The 16,844-nt window shown below is 41.9% G+C and overlaps 1 protein-coding gene across 4 annotated transcripts in view; it reads right to left on the bottom strand.

The window, feature by feature from the left end:
• The window catches only part of TMEM178B (transmembrane protein 178B), a 437,233-nt gene extending 420,389 nt beyond the window's left edge, over positions 1-16,844 (bottom strand). For all 4 annotated transcript variants that reach the window (XR_001744505.2, XM_017011636.2, NM_001195278.2 and 1 more), the window contains exon 1: positions 16,216-16,844. Coding sequence is in view for 3 of the 4 variants with exons in the window: in XM_017011636.2 (XP_016867125.1) it covers positions 16,216-16,597 (382 nt within the window). In the remaining variant the exon portion in view is untranslated. The remainder of the gene's footprint in view (positions 1-16,215) is intronic.

The raw sequence follows: 16,844 nt of genomic DNA, 5'->3' as shown, positions 1-16,844 counted from the left end.
ACTGTGAGATGACCTGGACTGAACAACAGTCACTGGCATTTCCAAAGAGAATCTGCTTCTCGGTAAGACCCTAAGGAGTGAAACTCTCTCACATATTGTTAACCTGGAATTTGGTGGTCTTTGTAAGAAAAGATGTGTTGGCTGGCCATGACATCTCTCTGTCCCTGAATCCCCCTATGGGGGACAAATGCTTTCTGTAATGTTCACCTACCACAATAGGGACAGATACATCAGAGAATCAGAGGCAGATACCCACCATGTTTTCCCAACATCACTGACCCACTCATTTTGAAAGTCATGAAAAGTGAACTGAAGAATAAACCAAAGAAGAGGAAATTACAGAAAGCACAGTCTGCTTTCCTTCATCAGTCTGTTCTCATTATCTGACCAAAGTCACTATCAGAGGAGATATGAGGAGGCTGCTCTCAACAACGTTTGAGAGAGAGGCTTCATCAAGACAACCCGAGGACATTACTGCTGATAAACATTGAGAAACTTGGAAATGGATGCTGAGGAAATAGTTGGATATGCCAGTAAAAGACTTAGAAGTAGGCTGGGTACAGTGGCTCACTCCTGTAACTCCAACACTCTGGGGTTTGGGATGCTGAGGTGGGAGGACCCCTTGAGGTCATAGTTCAAAGCTGCAGTGAGCTATGATTGCACCATTGCACTCCAGCCGGGGCCACAGAGTGAGACCCTGTCTCTAAAATTAAATTTTTTTAAAAAATTTAAAGGTCCAGAAGCAGATTTGGAAATTCTTATATTCATGATAGGAACAAGAATGGCAGTAGGCTTCTCTGTATCCAAGTATGCTGATGAGAGGAAGAGTCTGGGAAAGGCAAGAAGGGTAGCAAAAGTGGACAAGATTATCATGAAGTGGTGGCTAGACTTTTTTTTTTATTATACTTTAAGTTCTAGGGTACATGTGCACAACTTGCAGGTATGTTACATATGTATACATATGCCATGTTGGTGTGCTGCACCCATTAACTCGTCATTTACATTAGGTATATCTCCTAATGCTATCCCTCCCCCTCCCCCAACCCCACAACAGGCCCTGGTGTGTGATGTTCCCCTTCCTGTATCCAAGTGTTCTCACTGTTCAATTCCCACCTATGAGTGAGAACATGCGGTGTTTGGTTTTTTGTCCTTGCAATAGTTTGCTCAGAATGATGGTTTCCAGCTTCATCCATGTCCCTACAAAGGACATGAACTCATCCTTTTTTATGGCTGCATAGTATTCCATGGTGTATATGTGCCACATTTTCTTAATCCAGTCTATCATTGATGGACATTTGGGTTAGTTCCAAGTCTTTGCTATTGTGAATAGTGCCGCAATAAACATATGTGTGCATGTGTCTTTATAGCAGCATGATTTATAATCCTTTGGGTATATACCCAGTAATGGGATGGCTGGCTCAAATGGTATTTCTAGTTCTAGATCCATGAGGAATCGCCACACTGTCTTCCACAATGGTTAAACTAGTTTACAGTCCCATCAACAGTGTAAAAGTGTTCCTATTTATCCCTTGGGAGCCTTTGCTCATGATTCTTCCTTTGTCTGGAAGCCTCCTCCCCATCTCGGCCCCCTACCTCCAAGTCTGCCTGTCCAGTGCCTGCTAATCCCTTAGGAATCAGCCTAAAGCCCTTCCTCCCAGTCTTGCTGGATGTCCCCTCATCCCCAAATACCAGGTCGAAGTGCTTTCTGCCTCCTTTAGGCTTCTGGACACACCAAACATACATTCTTTCCAGCAATAGTGACATTTTGTCGTATTTATTTGCTTACCCATATGTTTCCCTCCCTTTTGAGACCATTTTGGAACTATTTCCTACTCACCTTTTTATCCACAGGGTTTTGCATAATGCATGGATATAATGCATGGGCCATAATAGGTACTTAGTAAATATTTGTTGAATGAATGAAAGTTTATCTCAGTTAATGCACTAGATCTGGAAATCTCATTTTAAAAAGATTCATAACTTCATTGGGCTAGGGTGGGGGATTCACTATTAAAAGGAACAATGATGTGAATTGTTTTATAATGCATATAATAAACTTCAATTTATTTTCTTTTTTAAGGTTTATTTTTTTTCTTAAAGCCTCCATATCCCCAATTCACAAAGTAATTTAAACAACCCCATCAAAAAGTGGGCAAAGGATATGAACACACAATTCTCAAAAGAACACATTTATGGCAGTGAGCCATGTTCTCTAAGACAGAGGAAAATGAAGAAGAGATGAGTCTGGAGGAAAAAGATGAAATAGATTCCTTTGGACCCATGGGTGATCCTAGTGGAGATATCCAATAGGCAAGATGCTCAGATGGAAAGACTGGCTAGAGATTCCCAGTGCAACTAGTCATGAGCATAAAAGAAAATGGCCCTAGACGTGGCTGAGACTGATCCAGGAGAAGGTGAAGAGTGAGAAAGAGAAGTGGAATTCTGAAGGATATCTACACAGTCTGAGGAAGAAAAACTGGCAAAGAAGAAGGAATAAGAATAGAGCTACACACAGATCTGGTAGAGAACAGTGTCTGGAAAGCCAGGGAGTGAGGTTTTTCAGGAGCAGTCTCAGGAGGGGGATGGGTGAGGAAACCTAGCACATGGGAGTGCATGGGAGGTGCACACGAGGAAGGAAAGAAAGCCAGGCAAGCAGAGAAGCCACAACTAAAAAGAACAAGGGCCAAGCAAGTCACCTTCCACTCCACTGATGCTGACATTGAGGAAGGAGTGAGAGAGAAGAGGTTGAAGACACAGAGGCCAGGCTTTTCCAAAGTGGAAGGTCATTCACCTCATGAAGTGCAACATGTCTCCCTCCCCGCAGAGCATCAAGAACCAAGCAGAACACCCACCTGGGACCTTCAGCCCAGGCCTGTCCAGGGCTGCATCTGGGCATCTCTTCCAGCCCTGTGGTTACCAAAACATGAGCACTGAAGTTATTCTGCTTCAACACCCCTGAAATCCCTTGGAACTTTCATGATCCCTTGGTAATGAGAGGCCAGCTTTGGTTTTTTCAAAGCAGTATAAACTGAAAAATGGAGTTCTTGCTATAATTCTGAGGGGATTTTTCTATTCCAGCTATAGTTTGTATAAATAGGGAAGGCAGAAACACATGATCTTAACATAAGGACTCTTGGCTGAAGCCACCTTCATAATCTTCAGAATAAATGATCAATACCTTAAAGTTTTACTAACACTCTCTACTCAGTTTCAAAAGTGATATGAAAACTGCTAAAGAAGACAAATATACTCTATTTCTTTTTTATCAATTCTCACCTTTTCTTTACTAGTTCTCGCTGAATTATCTTCCCTGGGGTTAAAATGCCTTCTGAGAGGTCTGTGCTCAATTCTGGGTTTGTCTCACACCCTCAATAGCTGGTTACTCTCTGTCTCAGTGCTCTATCTATTTAAAGTTCAATCTATGATCAAGTTAATTGAAAAAGTGACTTTAGTGGCTCTTGGAATTCTTGATTTTTTTTCTCCACAAGCAGCAGGAAATTTAAAAGGGGCTGGAATGACTTGTCCATTAGTCTCCATCTCAGTAATCAATCATTGTAAAGCCCTGATTTCCTCCTCTTACACATCAGAAGGGAATAAAGCAAAATGTTATTCTGTCTACACTCTTCTCTAACAGCTAATTTCAAGGAAAACTGTTGGTTAGGGATGAACTGATTCCCCTTTTTTCTAAATGCTTCTTGTTCCTACTTACAAAAGTCAACCACAGACTGCCCCAGGGACAAAGTTTTCTGGTAATTTTCCTTAAAGAACCTGCATCCTGCACACTGAACAACACAATCTGAATAAAATTTTACCTTTTTTATCAGAATTGTAACAGTCACTCATGTGGCTTGAATGTGCATGCATGTGAATATTTGCTTCAGATCTTCTGTTTTTTTTTGTTTTTAAAAAACAAAATATCAGGCCAGATGCGGTGGCTCACACCTGTAATCCTAGCATCTTGGGAGGCCAAGGAAGGCAGATCACTTGAGGTCAGGAGTTCGATAAGAGCCCGGCCAACATGGTGAATCCCTGTTGCTATTGAAAATATAAAAATCAGCTGGGCGTGGTGGCAGGTGCCTGTAATCGAGGCTGAGGCACAAGAATCATTTGAACCCAGAAGATGGAGGTTGCAGTGAGCAGAAATCACACCACTGCACTCCAGCGTGGGTGACACAGCAAGACTCCATCTCAAAAAATAAATAAATAAATAAAGTATCACAGATGCTTTGGAAGTTCCCTGGCACCCTTTCCAATTCCATTTCTTTCCCTTTCTTGAGAAAAGTAAATACCATCCTTCATTTTGTGTTTATTAGTCTCATGCATATTTTTATGCATACAATGCAAATATGTTTCTTTAGAGAATATCTAATATTGTTTTACCTGTTTTTGAACTTCGTATAAATGGTGTCCTATTCTGTATTTCATTCTGCACCCTACCTTTCTTACTCAAAGTTGTGTTTATCCATTTGGAAATATATACATATGCTTCATGTAATAATATTAACATACATGTGTTATACAATAGAAATGATTACAGTATATTTGAAATACATGTTTTAATATTAATATTAATTGGATCAGGCATGATGGCTCATGCCTGTAATCCTAGCACTTTGGAAGGCCCAAGGCAGGCGGATCACTTGAGGTCAAGAGTTCGAGACCAGCCTGGCCAACATGGTGAAACCCCATCCCTGCTGTATAAAAATTAGCCAGCAGTGGTGGCAGGCGCCTGTAGTCCCAGCTACTCAGCAGGCTGAGGCACAAGAATCATCTGAACCCAGGAGATGGAGGTTGCAGTGAGCAAGATCACACCACTGCACTCCAGCCTGAGCGACAGAGTAAGACTCGGTCTCAAAAAATAATAATAATTAATATTAATACATGTATTTCAAATATACCATGATCATTTCTATTGTATGAATATACCATACATCATTATCTTATTAATGAACATTTACATCTTTTGTTTATTTTGTGATACCGTCACAAACAGTGGTGCCATGGACATTCTTGGATGGGCTTCACGTGCTCATAAGTGGAAGGGCCGGGCCACAGGCACGCACGTCTTCAACCTCATGAGAGAGTACCTCATCTCTCTCCAGTGTTGTGCCAGTGAGCAGGCAGCATCGCCTGAGCATGGAGCTTCTTTCAGGTAAAAACAACCCTAGCCCATCCAGGCCTGTGAATACTCCAGGCCCTTGGGGAAATGGAGCTGCATTGCCTAAATAGAATCACTATTATAAAGATGAAGAGAAATTGAGGGCAAAACTGAATGAGAGGGACTCCAGAGCAAATAAAGTGTCCAACAGAGTGAGCTCCAGAATATAGAACAGCAGGGCATTTTAAAAAGCAGGAAATGATATAAATGCATGACGATGACCTAATATAAAGTAAATTGCCTTTTCTTGGCAAAATACTTTGACGCCAAAAAAAAAATCAATTGAAATAATTCAGATACTGCAGTCTCCTATAAAAGCAGCAAATCTGTCAAACTTCTGTGAATGCTCACAGCAGCTTCTACTCAGAGGAAACATCACCTGTAGATGAATCCTAGTGACTCCTGGAAGGTCATTTAAATGCCATCTCTGTGCATACAAATTTACAAAAAATAGGCCAGGCATGGTGGCTCACACCTGTAATCCCAGCACTTTGGGAGGCTGAGGCTGGTGGATCACCTGAGATCAGGAATTCGAGACCAGCCTGGCCAACATGGTGAAACCCCATCTCTACTAAAAAAAAAAAAAAAAAAAAAAAAAATACAAATTAGCCGAGAGTGCTGACAGGTGCCTGTAATCCCAGCTACTCAGCAGGCTGAGGCAGGAAAATCACTTGAACCTGGGAGGCAGAGACTGCAGTGAGCTGAGATCGTGATGTGGCAGTGCGCACCTGTAATCCCAGCTACTCAGAAAGCTGAGGCAGCAGAATCACTTGAACCCGGGAGGCGGAGGTTGCGATGAGCCGAGATCGTGCCATTGCACTCAAGCCTGGGCAATAGAGTAAGACTCGGTCTCAAACAAAAAAAAAAATTACAAAACAATACACTTTTTTCATCTTTGAATCACCTGTTTGCTGCCCGGCTTATATTTATACTTGCTGTTTTTAAACATCATGAATATACGATCTCTGATATGATATGATTTATAAAATTTGGGCAGCAATGGCTGCCTTTTAGGAGAAGGACAGGCATCTGGGGGACAAGCAGGGGTGGCAGGGAGACTAGACAAGCATTACCTAGTCGGGGCTCATAACTTTTAAGGGAGGCTGAGATTCCACCTTATCAATCCACAAATCTCTCTCTAAGAACATCTTAGGATCACATGTCCGCTTTTCTGCAAAACATGCGCTGACGGCTCCCAGATGGGGCCCAGCCATCCAGGCTCCCAGCACAGAAATCTCCCATAGAACCAACCAGGGGGCTTGTACTTGTGAGTTTACCTATCTCCTCACTTTTTAGCTCCATGAGGACAGAAACAACAGATTTCACTCAAAATCTTTCACCTCAAGTAATGTGCCTGGCATTGTTGGTGCTTAATAGACATTTTTTAAATAAGTTCAGTGAAATGTTCTTCACCATTCAATGATTTTTAAATGGCCCAAGGGATGTATTCATTAGTTTTCCTTGTTTTATATATTGGTACTCCTTAAAAGCTCTGTTCAGAAAAAGCAAAAAAAATCTAAGGCTCAAAAATGTTTAGCTGTAAGCCCTACGAGGGCAGGAATTTCATGTTTTACTAACTTCTGCATCCCAAGCATACTTTGGTTGTGCCTAATACATAGTAGGTGCTCAATAAATGTGCTGAATAGGCTGGGCGTGGTGGCTTATACCTGTAATCCCAGCACTTTTGGAGGCCGAGGCAGGCATATCACCTGAGGTCAGGAGTTCGAGACCAGCCTGGCCAAAATGGCAAAGCCCCATCTCTACTAAAAATACGAAAATTAGCCAGGCATGGCGGCATGTGCCTGTAATCCCAGCTACATAGCCTGGGCAACAAGAGCGAGACTCTGTCTCAAAAAAAAAAAAAAATTCTGCTGAATGAATGAAGAGCCTTGGCTACGAAGTATTCCACACACTAAACAGAATCCAGTTCCTTTCTCTATTGAGTGTTTAAATGTATTTTTTTTTCCTTGGGGTAATTTACCATTTTAACCACTTTTAAAGTCCAGTGGCATTAAGTACATTGACAGTGTTGTGCATCTGTCATCACCTTTCTCTTAGGTTTTTCATTTTAAACCCTGAACTGCAAATCACATTTCAAGCCATTTGAAAGAGGAAAAGTTCGTTTTTATTACATGTTTTTAGAGTGGTAAGAAATTAGCTATTCCTATTGCAAACTAGAACCCAGGATGATCTCTTTAGAAATTGCTTTGTCTCTCACATCTGTCTGTCTGTCTGTCTGTCTGTCTCTCTCTCTCTCTCCCTCCCTTCCTCTTTCTCTTCCCACCCCCCATCAACTTTTGCCTTGCCCCTCTTTTCACCCTCCCTCAACCATGTACCTATTATCTACTCTTTGACACCTAAATCTAACTTTCTCATCAAATGTAAAAGTATGAAAGGGCTTGGAGTTTATAGAATCTAAACACATTATTTTACATATGAGAAAATAAGTCATATAAAAGAATATATGAATTCTCTCGAAAACAGCAATCAAGACATTAGGATGATTTTTCCATCTATTCATTCACCAAGTCACACCCTTCCTCCTCTCTCTGTGGATTGTTTGGGAGTAGTAAGTTACAAACATATCTGCATCTAAATAGACGCTTGTGATTGTAACATCTAACATCTAGATGTGTGTGGGGGGAGGTGTGCGTGTCTGTGTATGATGGGTCAAACTAACCCAAGTGTGTTTAGCATTCTGCCTGAAGGCCTAGGATTACTTACTAATAGCAAAGAGGGGGAAATGTTTTCAACTGACAATCCAAAGTGGAATACACAGTATTGATCCTCTAATTGACCCTACAGTAAAAGAATAAATAAACTGACCTCTTCAACAGAAAAAAAGGCTCTAGACTTTGTTGACTCAATAAAAAGAGCTCACTCCTGCATTCCCTGACTAGTTGATTCCTTATCCAATTGATGCAGGTAAGACCTCCTGAGGAAGCACCTGATACCACTGCACATGACAATGAACTTGGGAAACCATGAGCTGGAGTGTAAGCTCCCTTAGGACAGGAACCAACCATGCCTTTTTGTTCTCCCTCCACACGTAGCAAAGAGCTCTGCACACAGCAGGTGCTCAAAACACATCTCTTTACTCCATCCATTCATTTGCCCAGTAAGTCACAGGTTTTCTTCTTGAATCACTGACTCTCACTGGTTAGTTGAGTTTTAGGATGATTGAGGAGGAGAGATGGGACTATGAGTGTTTATTTATTACATATGGGCATACACATGGCGTATACGCAAGGAGGTGCACATCATGTATACAAGACTATGGATGTTTGCATGTGTTTCTTTGAAGGTGAGTATGTCTTAAGTTTTTTAATCAGCAAACAGTTTTTCAGAACCTACTAAGTACAGGACCCCAAGTGTGTTTTAGACATTAAACAGTTCCTGCCCTCTAGGAATTCAATAAAGAATGCAGAAAGAAAGAGCCTGTGGAGGTCCCTCAGCTAATGAAACCTCCTGAACTCCAGTCTATATTAGTTTTACCACCTCTTTTCCCTGCAACACCCAAAGCCTCCTTGTATGGAACTACAGTCACATGTCACTGAACAACAGGGATATGTTCTGAGAAATGCATCGTTAGGCGATTTTGTCGTCATGCAGACATCAGAGTGTACTTCCACAACCTAGATGGTGTAGCCTAGTACACACCAAGGTTATGTGGTATAGCCTATTGCTCCAAGGCTATAAACCTGAACAGCATGTTACTGTACTGAATACTGTAGGCAATTATAACACAATGGTAAGTATTTGTGTTTCTAAACATAGGAAAGATGCAGTCGAAATGCAGTAGAGAAGACAAAAAATGATACACCTGTGGAGACTCTTACCATGAATGCAGCTTAGAAAACTGGGAGTTGCTTTGGGTGAGTCAGTGAGTGAGAGGTGAGTGGCGAGTGAAAGTGAGGTCCTAGGACATTACTGTACACTACTGTAGACCTTATAAATACTGTACACTTAGGCTACACCAAACTATACAAAATATTTTTCTTTCTTCAACAATAACCTCAGCTCACTGTAGATTTTTTACTTTATATACTTTTTAATTCTTTTAACTTTACAACTGTATGAAATATTTTCTTTCTTTTTTTTTTTCTTTTTTTTGAGATGGAGTTTCACTATTGTTACCCAGGCTGGAGCGCAATGGTGCAATCTCAGCTCACTACAACCTCCACCTCCCAAGTTCAAGCAATTCTCCTGCCTCAGCCTCCCAAGTAGCTGGGATTACAGGCATGTGCCACCATGCCTGGTTAATTTTTTGTATTTTTAGTAGAGACGGGGTTTCACCATGTTGGCCAGGCTGGTTTCGAACTCCTGACCTCAGGTGATCCACCCACCTCAACCTCCAAAGTGCTGGGATTACAGGTGTGAGCCACTGCACCCAGGCTCTTTCTTTATATCCTTATCCTATAAGCTTTTTTCTGTTTATAAAATTTTTTATTTTTCAACTTTTGAAACGTTTTTGTTAAAAACTAAGACACACACACACACACATTAGCCTAAGCCTGCAGAGGGTTGGGATCATCAATCTCGCTGTCTTCCACCTCCACATTTTAGCCCACTGGAAAGTCTTCAGGGGCAATGGTGCACATGGAGCTGTCACCTCCTGATAACAATGCCTTCTTCTGGAATACCTCCTGAAGGACCCACCTGGGGCTGTTTTACAGTTAACTTTTTTTTATAAGCAGAAGGAGTACACTCTAAAACAATGATTAGAAGTATAGCATAGTAAATATATAAACCAGTAACAGTCATTTTATTATCAAGTATTACATACTGTACATAATTGTTTGTGCTAGACTTCTATACCGCCGGCAGTGCAGTAGCTTTGTTTACACCAGCCTCAACCCAAACACAGGAGTAATGGGTTGCTGCACTGTGACATCTATGATGTCACTAGGCCATAAGAATTTTTCAGCTCCATGATAACCTTATGAGACCACTGCAGTCTGTCTTTAACCAAAATGTTACAGGGCACATGACTGCATTTCATTTTTGCCTTACTTGTCATTCTTCCCCTTTGCGCTTCGTAAGGGCAGACCTTCATGGTGCCCATTACCCTGTGCTATATTACACGATTCATATATTAGATATTATTTTTACTCTATGACTATTTTTCTTCAGATGGAGTCTCGCTCTATCACCCAGGCTGGGGTGCAGTAGCACGATCTCGGCTCACTGCAACCTCCGCTTCCTGGATTCAAGCCATTCTCCTGCCTCAGCCTCTCGAGTAGCTGGGATTACAGGCATGCGCCACCACACCCAGCTAATTTTTGTATTTTCTGTAGACACAGGGTTTCAACCATGTTGGCCAGGATGGTCTCAATCTCTTGACCTCGTAATCCGCCCTCCTCAGCCTCCCAAAATTCTGGGATTACAGGCGTGCGCCACCGTGCCCAGCCGTGGAGTATTTATTTATTGTCCGTCTCTCCCCTCTGGAATGTAAGCTTCTCCATTTGGTCCAACACTGTACCTGATGCACAGCCCAAAGGCCCTCAATAAATACTTGTTGAATGAATGAATGTGTCCTTCATGTCTATAATTTCAGCATCTACCACAGCAAGCGAAGTAAATAAGCAAAAGTTATATGACAAAATGTGTATGCACTTTGGTCAGTGAGCTTCAAAACAGGGTGTGTGAGCCACTCTCATTACTTCAATTTAGAATTGAGATTCCAAGAGTATTATTTCCTTTTTATTCTCAATTTGTGGAATCAATATCCCAGTTTCTTCTCCACCTCACTCCTGCCCCGATAGATTCTAAGATGATGGTAGAGTGTGGTGGGTGAGTTCCCACATCCAGAGCCAGAATTCAAATTCTGACACCTTTGTTTCCTAACTAACTGTGAGAATTCACAAGTTATCTGACCTTTCTGTGCCTCAGTTCCCTCAAATTTAGGATGAGAATTTAAAATAATACTTATACTTCCTAGGGTTATTATGAACAATAAATTAGCTAATACATATAAAACTTTTAGGAGAGACCTGTCATCAAGATTGGCTATAATTATCATTAATCTCTTTCCCACCCCACCAACTTTGCAAGTGATGTTTAATGGAGATGGAGAGGGCAGGAGGGAAGAAGGGAGAAGCTTGTGAGAATTCTGTGAGTTGATGATAGAAAATTAAAATATAAATTTACTATAATTGACCATGAACTAAAGCCTTCTGCCCAATATATTCAAGTAGCAGTTTCTTAAAGTGTAGAATGATATACTTAAATTTAAACCCAAGTTATCATGGAATTATACTCATCTGAAACAAAGTTATGTGCTTGGTTCTTTTAGAGGCTATAGGCTCTGCGTGGCGCTGTCCAACAGAATTTTCTCCGATGGTGGGAATGTTCACTGTAATCTGCACTGTCCCATACAATAGCCAGTAGGCACATACGGCTACTGAACATTTGAAATGTGGCCAATACAACTACGGAAATAATTTTTGTTTGTTTGTTTTTTGAGACAGAGTCTCGCTCTGTCACCCAGGCTGGAGTGCAACGGCATGATACCAGATCACCGCAACCTCTACCTCCTAGGTTCAAGCGATTCTCCTGCCTCAGCCTCCTGAGTAGCTGGCATTACAGACACACACCACCATGCCCAGCTAATTTTTGTATTTTTACTAGAGATGGGTTTTCACCATGTTGGCGAGGCTGGTCTCGAACTCCTGAACTCAAGTGATTCACCTGCCTCGGCCTCCCAAAGTGCTGGGATTACAGGCGTGAACCACTGTGCCCAGCCTATTTTATTTAACTTTGGTTATTGTTAACTTGAACAGCCACATGTGGGTTGTGGCTCCCCAACTGGGCAGCATAGCTGTAGGGGATTTGATATACGAGCTCCCTGACTTGGTCCATGGCTGCTCTCCAGCTCCTGGTCTGCTCCTTCTCCTTGCCCCAGAAATCAACACTCACAAGGCCAAACTGCTGTTCCACACCTCTATGGCTGTGCATATGCTGGCCCATTGCCTGAAATATCCTTCCTCCACATCCACCTCCAAACCTTATCAAACATCTTGTTCAGATTTCATTTCCTCAGGACAACTTTCCCTAACCTCCTCCTGCCTACCTCCCGCTACTGCCGACACAATCCACCATCACTTTCTCTGTGTTCCTCTGCATCTGTTTCTGTTGCTGCTCTCATCATCCTGTAGTTGTAACCTATTTTCTCTGACACTAACAGACTATGCAAATTCTGAGGACCAGATCTTATGCATTTCTTCATCCTAGCGATGTGTGCCCATAACACAATACATGTGTAGTAAATATTTGCTGATCCCATTATTAATTTTTAAATATGTGAATGTTTTCTTAAAATTACTTTTGGAGTATTGACAACCACTCTGTGATTATGGGAACTCTTTAAGTCAAAGTCTATTATAAGGCCAATTTTCAAATAATAAAAAGTTCTTAGAGTATCAGTTGAAGTTCTACTTATTTCAAACTATATCAATATAATATTTTAGTACAAACCAAATAATATAATTTTCCCCTTAGAGTTCCCTAGAACAAAATCCTACCTATAACTCCTCCTCCTAAGGGTCTGGAAGTCTCTTGGATTTCAGAAACTGATCTTGTCACTGATCTGTCCCCAGTGCCTGCAGTCACTTACTAGGGAGACATGGATGAGATTTAAAAGCAAGAAGACAAAAGGACCTGATTTAAGACTTGTCATGGATGCCAACAAATGGGAATTCAGGGTAATCTACCCTTGCTGTACCCTATATCCAATCTTACCCCCAAGAAGGAAATAATTAAAACCTTATCCATCATAAAAAATAATGTCCACAAGTGATATGTGTCTGCTTAGTGACATGTTATCCAAAACAGAATTGTCTGTTTTCCTTATTCTTTGGCAAAGCTCAAGAAATCGTCCCTTCATAGATTATGTAGCATTTGTTGCAATATTGACCTGGCCTGACAGCCACACTGTTTCATATTTTCCCATCACGATTTTCTAATTTTTTACTTAAATTCTCACACAAGTGTTTCTATAATTAGAATAAGCTTGGATGGATACATTTCTGTGAACCTAATTTGTATGAAATATTTCCCAAATACCAAGCATCTGGTGAATGTATTTAACAAATGATGGTCTTTCCTGACCTCTAGGAACTTACAGTTTAATAATGCAAACAAATGAATACACAGTGATGAGAAATGCATACGTGTGGGTACAGCATGGCAGAAGGTCCTGGAGGGGAATGGATTTCAGAATGAATATGAATCCAGAGGACTTTACCTTCAAATCAGACATAGATTTGATGTTCGTTTTCTTATTAATTATGTGGTTTTATGTTGAAATGCACAAATAGCACTTTCTAATGTAATGAACATCGATTTAACAAATAACTAAGTTCTTTAGATCATTTAGATAAGTCTCTAATTTTCCTATATATTAACGGATTTTAAAGTCTTTTCTCTGGTTTTCTTTTTCCCTTGCCCATTACATATCTTCCAGAATTTTAATCAAAGTAGATATTTCAAAGAAGACAGAGGTCTGAGATCTCTTTTGCGGTTTCTAATGAATAATGTGAGATAAACATCTTTTTCTAAAATGTCTCATTTAAATATAGGGATATCAGTTTCTCTTTTTAACTTCCTTATAAAATCTGCCCATCTAAGAGGAACACTAAGTGTAAAAATTGTGTTCTATATGTTATTGGAATTGCTTGTGAATTCTACTAATATAACATGCACTTATTTCCAAAATGTGTCTATTGCTGCTCAGAAAAGGAAGATCTGGTTTTCAAAGAGTGTGTGTTGAGGTTAAAAATGAAGATAGTGACCTTAACTCTCTCAAGATTTGTAAGGCTGGCATGTCATCTATCTCAATAATACCTAACAAGAATGTCAAATGGACAGAAACAGCCATGGTAAGCGGGTGCTTGCCGCTGACAGTGATTGCTGTATTTTGGGCGATGGGGAACACCATTTCCATTAGTTCAAGTGAAATACAATGCCCTGCCAACTCTAGGTATCAGTGTATTCAATACCCCTGCTGTGCCATGTCCATTTTCTGTTGCTGCAATTAAAAATCAGTCGATACAAAATCAAAATGTTGTACATTCTTCCCCTATCCCTTTCCCTGTCTCTGTTTCCAGCTTCACCGGAAGAACATGTCACTATGGCAACCAACCCCTCCAGTGCACAGACCAAGTCAACCTTTCTAGTCAGACTGCCAAGCAGAGCAACAGGGAATCAAAGCTCTGAATGGAACCGCCAGAAACCATGAATTCCATCCCCCTTTCTCTAAGTGGGGTTAACCAACACAAGAAGGGATACCTCTCTTATTCTAGAAGGCATTCAAGGAAGGAAAAGTAAGAATATCCTTCAACAAATTCTCCCAGTGTTTGCTGTTCATTATTAACATGAATTCTCCCTCACATTTCAGCTAACTTCCTCTCATTTCAATTTTAAAGAAAGCAGAAAATCATGGATAAAATAACACTTTATAAATCTGAGAATCTCAAAACTGTTATAAGGTCACTCATTGTCAAAAACTATTCTAGGCCCTCTTGTTTTCCTGCCTTGGCAGCCAAACCCAAGTTGGTCTCTTCTGGACTCCCCTAATATTCTGTACATCTTTACAAAGTGGTAGTGCTCCAAATGGGTCACCTTGTTCCAATAAGAACCCAATTGTGAAGCAAATGGGATATTGGTTGTATTAACACACCAATAACAAAATCAGCTAAAATCCCTAGTCATTCTAAAGAAGCTATAAAACAAACAGATAGATTCTGTCTCTGAAGCCACCTCACCTAAATCTGACCTGGCCACCTAGACCAGACCCACTGCTTGTCATTCTTAAACACTTGACTTTTTTGCAAATTAACAATTTTTTCTGATCAATTGCACACTTGTATCCATCAAAGAACATCAGTTCTCATAAATATTATTTTAATACAGCAGCAAACCTCACAGCATTATAATGAGACACTAAGAACTGCTTTTATATCTTGGCCTTAAAAACTTTGCAAATAATAGTATCTTTGTCACCTTGACATCACCATTTAATAGTTAAAGAGAATGAAACACAAGGGGAAAAAAACCAGACTCATAAAATCTGCACATCTTCCTAGGATGTAGCTACCATAGAAGAGAACATATTCCTTTCTTCAGAGCAGTTTTAATACACATTCAAACAATATTCCAGTGGGTTGACAACAGGATGGTTCCCAAAGTATAAATCATACAAGGTTTACAAATTCCATCCGATAAGCAGAATTTTTTAAGTAATGTGATCATATTAAAGTATCAAATAAATTTTTATCATTAGCAAATGCAGCTTGTTTTGTGTTTTGACATACACTTTGGGAATTTTTATATACATTTTCTGAAAATCTTATTTTTTTTCTCTGACATGCCCACTTTGATGTTACTGAAAGAACTATTTTTTTTTTACTTATTAGACCTTGTTGATATTCGATGCACAGAAGTCACTACAGTCAACCACTGTTTCAGAAGGAGACATAAAGAATTGTGATATGATGCTGCTGGTCAGCTGGCTTGGAGCTGCTTACAGGACAGGGGCTGTGATTTATTGATGTTTATATGACCAGTGCCTACACCATATCTGGTATAGTATAGCGCTCAGCAAACGTTTCTGGTATGAATAAGGCCTTCTCTGTGAAATGTTTCCCCCAATTTTCCTTGATTAAATCAGTTCAACAAAAATTAGGAACCTGTCTACCCCTGACACATGACTCCTAAAGGGCTTCCTTTAAGAGCACAAACAACGTTCCAGATTCCCTTCTTCTCAGAGGCTGATGAAGCATTATCCTGGATAAGAACCCTGGACCATGAGGTTCCACTCGAATCCCGACAGAGACGCGCGAAAGGAGAGGCAGGGGAGAGAGTTAAGCCTGCACCAAGCTTCATTAACAGCTATTGGGAGGCAAGTCCTGGCCCCGAGGCTCAGCCAGGCCTGGATAACCGGACCGCCTGGAACCCAGAGACCTGATAGCCTGTGGCCTGGGAAGGAGACGCGAGGGGCTGCGGGGCCTAAAGGCGCCGGGCTCTCCGCAGCGCCACGCCTTGCGCCCGGCGCTTACCTTTCCGAATGAGGGCGGCGATCTCGGGGTCGAAGCCCTGCCGGTGGCACTTCCTCCAGAGGCCCATGTTGGTGGAGTTGTACTGCCGGCTGCACTCGTCCGCGGGGCTCATGGCGAACAGCTGCCGGCGATTCCGGGCCCGGAGGAGTTTGCCCTCCCAGCGGTCCAGGCGCGAGCGGCTCGCCCGGAGCGGCAAGTTGTTGTTATTGTTGTAAATGAAGCCGGGGTCGACCCGGCGGGTGTTGAAGGCCTTGCACCTGTCCCTGTGCTTCCTGGCGTCCGTCTCGTACCAGTGGTCCGAGCAGATGGCCACGGCCAGCATGCCGAGGGCGCAGAGCGCTAGCGAGAGGCCAGTGTAGAGCAGTAACCTTCCGGCAGCCATGCCTCCGCTTGGCGGCTACACCATGGGCATGATCCGCCGCAGCCTCGCCTTCCCTCGCCGCACCCGGAACAAAGCGGCGGGCGGCCGAGCTGGGGGAGGGGGCAGGAGAGGGACTCGCGCCGCGGCGCCCCCTCGGCCCCCGCCTACCGGAGCACGGCCCGGGGACTGCGGGGATGGGGGCGGGCGGCCTAAAAAGTTCTGATCCGGAGAGGCTCCCGCGGGCTCCTGGGCATCCTCTGAGGCAGGT

This window comes from Homo sapiens, chromosome 7 (genome assembly GCF_000001405.40).
Source record: "Homo sapiens chromosome 7, GRCh38.p14 Primary Assembly".
NCBI lineage: Eukaryota > Metazoa > Chordata > Mammalia > Primates > Hominidae > Homo > Homo sapiens.
Note: the sequence above shows the minus strand (reverse complement) of the source record. Positions and strands in the feature narration are given on the sequence as shown.